This window comes from Homo sapiens, chromosome 1 (assembly GCF_000001405.40).
Source record: "Homo sapiens chromosome 1, GRCh38.p14 Primary Assembly".
NCBI lineage: Eukaryota > Metazoa > Chordata > Mammalia > Primates > Hominidae > Homo > Homo sapiens.
In genome coordinates, this window is record NC_000001.11 from 167,066,224 (window position 1) to 167,078,295 (window position 12,072).

The following is a 12,072-nucleotide window of genomic DNA, read 5'->3' on the forward strand; positions in this document are numbered from 1 at the left end:
CCAGGTTTCTTTGGGATAAAAGACAAAAAGGGAAGAAAAGTAACTGAGGCCTACTGGCATCTACAGAGCACTCAAAGGCATCCGAATGCATCCAAAAACTGTTATAGCTTTGCTGAAACCACCATTTTCTAAGGGAAAACTGCTGAAAGCAAATCCTTAATTCTCTCCAGAGGCAGAGGTACAGACAATGGCAAAGAAGTGACCAGCCACTCCCAAAGAGATCAGCCTTAGGGCGGAATGTGTCAGTTCCCAGCCCCTAAACCCTCTGGCCTCACCCAGGAACCCCTGCTCTCACCCTGTCCAGATCCCTCACTAAGGTCTCTCCCCTCAGCCTTCCACCGTCAAAAACAGGTAGGACCTCCGATCAAACAGATCTTTAACAGATCAAATCGTCCTTCCACACATGTGGGGCCCGTGAGACCTCCGGGGGACTCGGTATATTATCAGTCTTACCTCCCCAGCAGAATGCAGATGTTACCTGAATATTCACTGGAGGAGCAGTGATAGGGAGGGAGGGGAAACGGAACCAGTCGGGTGCCAAGGCCTCTCCGAAGCCTGCGACTCCCGCTACAGACGTCAGGGGGCGCCAGAGGCCGGAGCACCGGGTCCCCGGTCCCGGAGCCCCAGTTTTCCCAGCCGAAACCGAGACTGAGACCACGCGTGCTGCCCCGAGGCGCGGGCTGAGGGGCCGCCGGGCTGGGAGCTTCATGCTCGCCTCGGTTTACTGAGGTCATCCAGCCCCAGTGGGCTGGCTGCCTTAAAATAGCCTAGCTGCAAAGCCATTAGGAAAGAAAACGTGTGTGTGAATGTTTATATATGTTTTTATTTATGTTTATATATGTTTATATGTATATAATTTAAACTTGTTTCTTCGAGTGCATTAAAAAAATGGGCTCTTTCTTTTCTCTGTGTTTTTTGTTTGTTTGCTTGCTTGCTCGCTTGCTCGCTTGTTTGTTTTGAGGCCGGTCTCTGTCACCCAGGTGGGAGAGCAGCGGCTCGATCACGGCTCATTGCAGCCTCGACCTCCCCAACTCAAGAGATCCTCCACCTCAATTTATTTATTTATTTATTTATTTATTTATTTTGTAGAGAGGAGGTCTGGCTATGTTGCTCAGGCTGGTCTCCGCCTCGGCCTCCTAAAGTGCTGGGATTACAGGCTTGAGCTACCGCACCCGACCCTTCTTCTTTTTTAAAAAAGTAAAACATTGGTTTCACCGAGTTCCATAATCTCAGATTAAATTTGTATCCTTCTGGCTGGCCCTGGTTGGGAGGAAGAGGGATCAGCATTTATATAATGCTTATGTGGAGGATTTCGGGGGAGTGTGCATTAATACTTCCATTGCCCAAAGGAAATGAGACCTATTTAAGGGACCCCTAACATACATATGTACGTGTGTGTATGGGATGTCTATTGTAGTATTGTTCATACAAAAAAATGTTAACAGCCTGAATATTCATCAGTATGGAACACTTGAATAAATCATGGTACCTCCGTGTGATGGAATGTATGCTGTTAATCGGTAGATCTGCATGTGCCGATCTGGAGAAATGCGCATGAAACAAGGTTAGAAAGAAAAAACGCAGAGTGATCTTTATAACATGATTCCATTTTTTTTAAAGGAAAGAAAGGAAAAGAGAAAAGTATGCAAGAGTGTGTGTGTGTTGAAAGGACATGAGGAAAATATGGAATACCTACCTGTGTTGCCATTGGCTACCTCTCTAGGGGGTAGGGTGGAAGGAGACCTTAGTTATTCTTTATACAATGCGAGTTTGCATAGTTGTATAGTTGGACCCACTATAATGCTTTCAAAACGTCAGGCAACCACCTTATGCAATAAAAATATCTTAATTATTAATTAAATTAAATTTTAAAATAAATTTAATTTAAATTAAACATATTAATTAAAAATAAAATGCAATCAATTATGTAAAAGGAAGAGGGAAAAAAGATCTTTGTTTTGGTTTAAAGCATTGCTACCTCCCAGCAGTGGTGCCATTTCTTATATTGGACATAGACTAAGTGCTCATTAAATAACAGTTATTTTCCAATAACGATTTGACTTTGAGTCAGTTCCTTCCTTTCTCTGGGCTTCATCTACAAAATGAGGATATTAAAGTAGATGATCTTTCAGATCCTTCCCAAACTATAAATTCCAATAATAAGTCATTCCTATGAAAAGAATGTTATCTTGGGACACATTTCAAAGGGAGCAGAACCTGACTGATGGAGTATCTGTTGAGGGATGGGGGTGAGCAGATGGTGGCATGAAGAATTTCTGCTGGGTAGCCAAAGTTACGGCAGGGAAAGATATAAGAGAATCATGATGTGGCCCCCTGAGCACCCAATTAAGGCACAATGAGTCTTTGCAATAGGATTTAAGATTTTCCTTTATCTTTGTAATAAGTGTGGTATGAAAAAGAGGAGCTGGTATGGAGGAAAGGACACCGACAGAGCAAGGGACCACTCCAAGTCGGCCTTCTCTGTCCTCGAGACTGTTGGCCATTGGCGGAGAACTCAGAATAGTGTTTAGTTCCAAAGGGAGGAGCGGTCCCTCTGCTGAAGACAGCCTGGACGAGGTGAGGAGTCTTAGCTCCTTGTTGCTGCCTCTGGCTTCGTCTCAACACCTGGGCTCTTCTCCCTGTGCTGCCACCTGCCCACCCTCTTCCTACAACTCCTGAAAGACATGAAGACACTCACCGAGGACCAACAGGCGGACACGTGACTTGGTGTTGCCCTCCAGGTCTGACATCAGCGAGACAGAACACTCGTAGGTGCCGTTGTCAGCCATGGTCAGCTGATCAATGGTGATGGAGGCATCGGACTGCTCAGCATTGTTGGATATGCTGACGCGATTCTTATAAAGCTCACCATGGATGTAGTTTTTGTTTGAAAACGGCCAGATGACCACCCTTTCCTGGAGAGAGAAGAAATGGCACCAGGTCTTCACCCAAAGGCCCTTGCCTGGTGCTTCCAGCCTGCCCTGACTACCCTCATCCCCCAGTTTCCAGGGCCCAGAAGCACAGACCTGCCAACCCCTCAGAACAAATAGCTCGCATATGTGCTACCCATTTGTGGATTTCTTGTATTATATATATATTTTTTTAGTTTATTTTTAAAATGAAAATATTGAAAGAAGTTAGGCAGTTCATACCGCAGTACACATGTGGGTGAATGGGTCCATCTGGGATCCCAGCACTTTCACCTCTTGTAATCTCCGGCATCTCTCTTATCCATTCCATTTTCTCCATAGCCTATCCTCACTCATTCAGTCTATCAGTATTTACTGAGCACCTTCCATGTACCAGGCATGATGCTGGGCAGCCAGCCTTGGCTGCCAAACCCACTTTATTTTCTTGACTCTTGCCTTTGGAATGTACTGATTGATTGATAGACTCATCATTTATCAAATTGTATGTGGTAATGGCTAAATCACAGACTTTCAAGCCAGACTGCTTCAATTCAAATCCCCATTCTGCCATGTACTAATTGTATGACCTTGAGCAAAATGTTCCACCAGTGATTCTGTTAACTATTCTGCAAAATGGAGATGATGACAATAACACCTGCCTCTCAGGACTGTAGTGAGAATTACAGTAGTAATATACACAAAGCAGTTAGGGCATTATGTGACATGTTAAGTTTCTAGAAGTGCTAGCCATTATTATAACTGAGCATCTACTAGGTGTCTGACATTTGAAGATGATAATTCACGAATTCTGCACCCAAAGAGTGATGGAAGTGATAGACAACCAAACCTTGCAACATCTTGTGATTATCTCTAGGACCCCAGAAGAAAATATCACTTCCAGAGTGGTAAGTCAGGGGAGGCTTCCTAGGAGAGGTGACAGTTGCCTTGAATCCTAAAAACAACTAAGAATTAGCCAGGCAAAGGGCTGGGGGTATTGGGAGAGTAAGTGTTGGAGTAGGATAAAGGTGTTGGGCATTTCAGGCAAAAGAAGAACCACAGAGAAAGAATTAGATGTGGGAAGCAACATATCAACCCCAGTCATTCAGTATGAATGGAGGTAAGTGTGTGAGTGAGGGACTGGTGAGAGGGTGAGCTTGGGCAGGTAGCAATAAAGATCATAGCTGCTATTTATTGAGTGTATGCTATGTGCTAGGTACTAGCCTATGCACTTGGTATGTATTATCTCATGGAATCTTCACAACACCCCTAAAGTAGGTATATGATTACACTCATTTTACAAATGAGGAAGCCAAGGCACCAAGAAGTTAAAGGCCTCCCCCAAGTTCACATGATGTTTAAGTAAACGACAGCGCTGAGGTTCAAACCGGGCATTGTGGCTCCAGAGCCTGAAGTCCGGAGATTCTACAATGCCAGGTCTCAGACATCGTGTATATGGGACTAAACAGTTTGCATTTACCCTGAAGTGCTAGAGAGCCATGTATTTAGGAAGTCAGCTCTCAACACAGGATGGAAAGTGACTTGGAAGGAGAAAAGGGACTGGTTAAGAAACCAGTTTAACAATTCAGGTAAAAAATGATGGGTCCTCAGATAAGGTTGTGGCAATGCAGATGGAAAGAATGAAATGAATTTGAGGAGTATGAAAGTGGGGGCACCAATGAGACCATGAAGCCAGGAGAAGATCCGATGGACAGAGTAAGGGAACGGCAGACTTCCAGGGTAAGAGTTTTTTGGCTTGGATATTTGGTGATGTCATTTCCAAGAGAGGAAACACAAAGGAAGGGAATGTTTTATGAATAAACAATGTGTTCTCTTTACGTGTGGGGTATCTGGAGTGTCGGTGGGAGATCCATCTAGGTGGAGGAGTCAGTAAGAGCCAGACAGGTCAGTTTAGTGCAACTGGGGATGAAGGTTTGGGAGCCAATGACATGTCGATGTTCACTGAGACATGGGCTAGATGAAGCCACCCGGGATAAATAAGTAGAGAAATGGCAAGTCACCAAGTTACTTCATTTGAAGGGTCAAGGAGAGGTCAGAGAGCTAAGAGGAAAAGCCAAGACAAGACTTCCAGAAAGTCAAGACAAGAAGACTCCAAGGTTGGAAAGTGGCTGCTGGTGTGAAATGCTAATGAGAGATGAAATAAGATGGCTGAATGAAGTGTACTGAATTGAGCGAAAAAAGAGGTTGCTGTTGATTTCTGTAGAGCATTAGGTATAGAAGCGAGACCATGATGGACAGAGAATGTGGAGACCCGATGTCAAGTCTGACACCTGTGCGTGCAGTGCGCTTTGTGCAACATTAGAATAAGGGGCTCTACAGCCTGTGCTGGGATACATGGCTTGGCTAATGAAGCACATATCCTTGTGCAGGGTGCAATCTACCCAACCACAGGCAACAGACCAGGTTGAGGCAGACAGCTCTTTCAGGAAGCTTAGCTGACAAGCGAGGGAGAAACAAGATGGGAGATGCAAAGGTGTCTCGGGCTGTGGATCAGTCCATGGATACCGGTCCTTCCCAATTCTGCTCTTTTCTGATGCTGACTGGCTCTGCCCAGGACCCTCTGCCCACTAACCCTCCTCCCATCAAAGATATCCTAAGCCTCCCTCCCTGGACCTCCGCCAGGCTAGAAGACCTGCTAGGACCTGTCACAATAATCTCCTTGAGGGGCCGTATTTAAATCCCTTTCTCTATACTCTTGCAGGGTCTCAAGGCAATTGCCTGAAATCCTTCTGGAAGTAAGGGACCCAGCAGTCAATAAAATAACTTTAGTATCTACCTTAACACCCAGAAAACTGTCAGGCAGAGACCTCAAGTCTGGCCTGCTAAATAAGTATGATGGCAAGAGAAGGTTCCCTTTCGCTCCTACAAGCTAAAGGCAGCAGCTCCCCTCTCTGGGATTTTACCCTGGGACTCTGGGAGCAGTCGGGACAGGTGGCTATGGCCCATCATGGTCCCTTGGTGCGTCTGACCAAGACTTGCTCTCTTTCCCCATCCGTCCTGCCCGCTCGAGGCCTTGAGTGTTCTAGGCCACCCCTTCTTTCCTGTTAGGGAAAAAGCTAAGTCTTTCCACTCTAAGTGGTCGGGGACCTAATGCTTATCTCTGCCAGGCACGTTTGCATTTTAAAAGAAGACCTCACTTTTAAACTTATGAATAGATGCTCTACTTCTTATAATTAAAGAAATGTTAATTTGATGATGAATGAGATGTTTTTTCGCTTATCAGACTGGCAAATAGCGAACAGTTTGAGAATGCTCTGTGTTGGAGAAATAGGTGTCCTCACTGTTGGTGGTGAAAATAAAGATTGGGAGACATTTAATGAGAAAAATTTGATGTTATTTGTCAAAATGTTTAATTCACATACCCTTTTTCACATGACCCAGAGTTTTAATAATTTATTTTATATATGTATATATAGAGAGGTACATATAAGGGTATTTATATTTATGCAGCGTTATTTGTAGCAGCAAAATATAAGAAACATACCAAATGTCCATTCATGGTACATATAGTACCTTCATAAATTGAAATGCCTTTTGCAAATGTTGAAAAATGAGATAGATAAATATACTCATATACACAAAGAGCCCAAGATGTATTAAGAGTCGAATGCAAAACAGTATGTGTGTAGTATATGTAAATATACATATTCATATACGCAAATACATCTATAAAAACATATATCCATGCTCGTATATGCCCTGCCTGGGGGTGGAGGAAAGTGGGGGATAGAGGATGAGGGTGTGGGAAGAGGGTGGGTGAGACAGGAGAAGCAGGGATGGGAATGAGCCTTCTCAATGCACACTTTTTATGAGGTTTTGATTTTCAAACCATGAGATTATATTATCTATTTAAAAATAGAAATAGAAAAAAAAAACAAAACTCCTCCACACTTCCCAAAAGAATCCAAACAGGAAAAAAAACCCATAAAATTTGGCCTCAGAGCAAGGGCTATGCTAATCAAAAGGAGTGACTGACTCGCATGATACAATTTAGGTCATTTGAGATTGGCCACCAGAAAGATATTTTAGGGGCAGGTGACATTTTCAAAATAAAGGTGACATACTCTGGCCCTCCATGAGCCCAACATTCACTGCTCCCTCCCCACCCACTCCAGCCTGGGTGCTAGTGTTTATTCTACCATTTATGGAAAGACTTCATAGTGCTTGCCTTCTAAGAGGTCCTGGTCAGGTGATAATCATTCCCATGTTGCCTGAACTTGTAAAGTATCCTTACCGTATGAGTGAGGAGGAGCTTATCCCATTGAATAAGTCCCTCTCGACTGGAGGTGGAAGTGTGGTAGGTGCAGGGCAGGGTGACACTCTTTCCCTGCGAAGCCCGAAGAACGTCCTGCGGAGTTTCCACAGAGATGGCATCGACGGTCACCCTGACTGGAAAGAAAGTAGGCAGTGGAAGGGAAAAGTAAGCGACACGGACAGACATACCCACTCACTGCCCACAGGACCACTGAGGGAATGTCCAGGGCTGTTCTTGCACCTCCAGCCACAGCTAGAGCCATCTTGGCCACCTTGGCCCTGGCAACCAGCTTCTCCTCCAAGACTGCGATGAGGACAAACACATGGGCCTTGGTCCACCTGACTCCACCCCACAGCATGATGAATTGCCTGGCCCTGAACCTCAGCCCTACTTCTTACCAGCTGTGTCAACTTGTCTGAGCGTCAGTTTTCTCATCAATAAAATAGGAGCTCTAATACTTATTTCCTTGATTTATTGGGAAAATTAATGGAGATACCATGTGTAAGTATTTTTATTACTCCCTGGCGCATAGAAAACTCTCAATAAACATTACCTGCCATCGTTTTGGTTGTGATGATGATGTATTCTCTCATTTAACAAGTATTTATGGAACATTTGTATGTGGTAAAGAATTTTATGAATAAGATTATATCGAGGTAAAGAGATGGACCATATTTTCACAGGAGTTTATCTCGTATGAGTTTATCAGAACAAGGTTAGGAAAAAGAATGTGGCCACACTAGCATATTTTATCACACATGCTCTTGCCACGTGATGTTGACTCTCCTCCCTCAGGAGGTGGGGTCTGTGTTCCTTCTCTTCGAGCCTGGGTGCACCTGTGACTCCAGTGTAAGGGATGTTATGTGGCTCTGAGGCCAACTCATAAAAGGCCATTCTCTTCACCTGGTCCCTTGCGATGCTCACCCTGGAAAACCATCAACATTCTGAAGGGAGGTAAGCAGCCACATGGAAAGACAGGTGTCTGTGTTTGGGACACCAACTGAGGTCCTTTGGGACAGCCAACTTCAACTCCCAGACATGGGAGTGAGCAAACCCAGCCACCTAGCTGTTGGAACTGATGCTGAGGGGTGCAGAGTTGAGCTACCCTGCAGATCCCTGCCCAAATTGAAGACTCAGGAGTAAAATAAAGATTGTTATTATTTTAAGTACTGAGTTTTGGGGTGGTTTGTTATACAGAATAGATGCTTGGCACAGAGACCCATGTGGATCCCAGTGGTGAGAACTTTCCAGGCAGAGGCTAAGCAAGGGTCAGGCAGGGAGGCAGGAGTCAGCTTAGTCTACGCACAAGGAACAGCAAGGGAGATTGTGTAGTGGGAGGGAAGTGAGTGAGGAGGAGAGATGAAATGGAAAAGTTGTGGGGGTGGGGGTGGTCTCAGATTGCATAGAGCAATGTAGCCCTTATTTAGGACTTTGTATTTTGCTCTGAATGAAGTGAAAATGCCCTGGAGAGATTTAAGCAGAGAAAATATATTTGACTTACTTTTTTTTTTTTTTTTTTTTGAGAGAGAGTCTCGCTCTGTTGCCAGGCTGGAGTGCAGTGGCTCGATCTTGAATTGCCTCCTCCCGCCAGGTTCAAGTGATTCTCCTGCCTCAGCCTCCCGAGTAGCTGGGATTACAGGCATGCACCACCACGCCCAGCTAATTTTGTATTTTTAGTAGAGATGGGGTTTCACCATGTTGGCCAGGCTGGTCTTGAACTCCTGACCTCAGGTGATCCACCCACCTCAGCCTCCCAAAGTGCTGGGATTACAGGCATGAGCCACCATGCCTGGCCTGACATACATTGTTAAAAGATCATTCTGGCAAATGTGGGGTGAACAGATAGAAGTGGGGTGGGGAACAAGAATGGAAGCAAGGAAATCAGGCAAGAGTTGGCTCAATAGTCCAGATGAGGGCTAATGTCTTAGACACAGGTGATTGTGGGGAGGTGGTGAGAAGTGATCCAAATTGGAATGTATTTAGAAGGTAGGGCCAATGGGATTTGACTGCAGGCTACATTTGGCGTGTTAGAGGAAAACAGGAGTCAGGAATAGACAGAAGGATTTGGCCTCAGCAACTGGAAGAATGGAGTTGTCGTTTACTGAAATGACAACAGTTAAGGAAGGAGGAAGTTTCAGGGGGCAGATCAGGAGTTTGTTTGAGGACTTGCAAAGTTTGAGATGCTCCTTAGACACCCTGGTGGAGGTGGCAATGAGGCAGTTATGTAAGTCTGGAGTGCCACAGAGGCACGGAATGGAGACACAACTTTGGGAGTCACCGGCTCTCCATCAGTTAAGGTCAGAGGATGTTGAGGATCACTAAGGAAGTGCATGAAGACAGGAAAGACATGTGGGACTGAACCCTGGGACACTCCAGTGCTTCATGATGGAGGAAATTAGGAGGAATCAGTAAGGGAGAAGTAGGAAAATCTGGCTAGGGAGACAGGAAGAGAACCAAGAGCAGGAAAAGTTTCTTGAAAGCAAAGGAGGTCAGCTACTCAAATGCTGCTGACATGTTCAACCAGGGACCTGAGGGCAGAGAGATGGTCATTGGATGTGGCCACATGGAGGTGGCCTTGGCATTAGTGGATGCAGTGGGGTGGTGGGGATGGAGCCTGAAAGGAGTGAGTTCAAGAGCTGATGGGACAAGAGGAAGCAGACAGTGTTTGCTGGAAAGGGAAGAGAGCAGGGAGACTGTAGCAGCTAAAGGAGGCTATAGGGTCAAGAGGAGTTTACGCCCTTTTTCCCAAAATATGTGTATGATGATTTAAAAAATAATACTTTTACACTGTTTGTTGATGATGAGAATGAGCCAAGAGAGAATGGGGACAGAAATGATGTCCTTGTAGGGCAAATGGGGCTGGGGGTACGGTGTTATGGGAGGACAGGCCTTAGAAGAGATGCCGGGCTGTCTACCCACTGTAACAGGATGTGGCTAAAGGTGCAAGTGGGCTGGTAGATTTGGTGGTAGAAGGGTGAGCAAGTTCTTACTGAATGTTCCCATGATGAGGCTGCAGCATAAAGAAGGAAAATGTCCTGCTGAAGACCGTCCCCCCGCCCAGCTGGGAAGACTCCACTATCCAGGCAAATTCCAGCTGGATTAACACACTTCTCTTTCAAAATGCAAATCGCTCCTGGGAAACAGGGAAGCATTCGGGTTGTTCATACTTCATTAAGCAGTATTTCATAAGGTGAAAGTCAGCCACCCTCCTGGAATGGGCACTGTACAGTGAGGGCCATGTGAGCTCCTGGGGTGAGTTTATAATATCCGGGAGTATTGGATATTGGGAATGAGAGACAGGAAGATGTCAAAAAAACAGGTTTCCCCTCTTTGGCATTTGCATATTTTCCTCATGGTGATGCCAGTGCCAGAAGCCCCTGAAAATTTGTTCAAATGTTGGCTTCCCAAGTCACTGATGCTGCTCCAGAAGGTGATTCCAAAGTGGCCAAGACTTATCAAATGACCCTCCATGTGACTGGTGTCTTTCCACCACCTTCGTCTATCAGAAAACATTTGCTGGCAGGGCGCAGTGGCTCGTGCCTGTAATCCCAGCACTTTGGGAGGCCGAGGTGGATGGATCACCTGAGGTCAGGAGTTCAAGACCAGCCTGGCCAACATGGTAAAACCCTGCCTCTACTAAAAATACAAAAAATTAGCGACTGTGGTGGTGCATGCCTGTAGTCCCAGCTACTCAGGAGGCTGAGGCAGGAGAATCACTTGAAGCTGGGAGGTAGAGGCTGCAGTGAGCTGAGATTGCACCACTGCACTCCAACCTGGGCAACAGAGCAAGACTCCATTTCCAAAAAAAAAAAAAGAGAAGAAAACACATTAGTCATCATTACTAACAAGTCACCCTTCATCAGAAGGTTACTTGCTTCAATGGAGCCCTCCAGTGCCGTCTGCCCAGCTCCCAGCTATAGCAGACAGCCCATCTAGATATCATTTCTCATATGCCTGGTGTAGTCATGGCAACTGCCACTGATCTTTACTTCACCTCTTCTGTCCTTGCCTGGACCAGGGCATTTTCCCTGGAGCGCTGTCCTCACGGTGACCACTCTTGGGCCTCTCCATGAACTTTACACTGATTCTGTTCTTGTCTATCACCCTGGCCACACACTACACATTAAGGGACTTCTGCCACTGGCAGAACCTAAATGGCCCATGCACAGTTGGTCCCCAAAACTCAAGCAAATTCTATCTGATAGTAACAATTCTCACTCTCAAATCAAAGAGAACCAACCCACTAAGTCATTCCTTTAGACAATGGAGTGTCTAATTACCTGCTCACTCAAGATTAAAGGAATGTTAAGTCAACCATCAATGGATGAAAAATGAGTCACTCTATTGAGTTAATCATTCTCAATTCCCTGTTAATCTCATGTTATTTTAATTACATCTCAATGGTACAGGCACCATACAGGTATTTTACAGATATTCTCTCATTTATTTTCATACTCTCTTTAATGATAGACATTTGTATTTTCCCTATTTTACTGGTGACATAATTGAGGTTCCAAAAGGTTAAACCCTTTGCTCTATCTAGATATGACAGCTTGACAGCTAACAAATGGCAGAGCTGCTGGCAAGTCCTTCAGATAGAGGCAGCCCTGGTGAGGGTATAGGGCTGCTGCCCAACAGTCAGGGAAAAGTGCTAATTTTTGCCTGCAGGGACAGGAGGATGGTGTTTTCCTTGGCTGTCAACAGAACCTATTTCCTATTTTGTTCCTTGACCACATCACACCCCTCAATCTTGTCACAGAAACTCTTCTGCTTTCTTCAGTCAACCAACAAGTATTTAATATGTGCCTAGCATATAAAACCAGCCCCCTGCTCTACTCAGGGAGATAAGATAGATGCCCACAAAGTCATCTTCTTACCCTGGCAAATTAA

The 12,072-nt window shown here is 45.2% G+C and overlaps 1 protein-coding gene across 3 annotated transcripts in view, besides 1 other annotated feature; it reads right to left on the bottom strand.

The window, feature by feature from the left end:
- Nucleotides 1-12,072, bottom strand: part of GPA33 (glycoprotein A33) — a 37,542-nt gene that overhangs the window by 13,388 nt on the left and 12,082 nt on the right. For all 3 annotated transcript variants that reach the window (NM_005814.3, XM_017000005.2, XM_047424480.1), the window contains 2 exons: nucleotides 7,162-7,316; nucleotides 2,699-2,915 (listed from right to left, as the gene is read on the bottom strand). In NM_005814.3, coding sequence (NP_005805.1) covers nucleotides 2,699-2,915; nucleotides 7,162-7,316 — 372 coding nt within the window. The remainder of the gene's footprint in view (nucleotides 1-2,698; nucleotides 2,916-7,161; nucleotides 7,317-12,072) is intronic.
- Nucleotides 2,799-3,012: a silencer, noted in NCBI's record as "fragment chr1:167038259-167038472 (GRCh37/hg19 assembly coordinates)". NCBI's record gives its function as "represses an EF-1alpha promoter that drives an FKBP-Casp9 reporter gene in an ReSE screen in K562 erythroleukemia cells {active_cell/tissue: K562}" and the evidence as "EXISTENCE:reporter gene assay evidence [ECO:0000049][PMID:32094911]".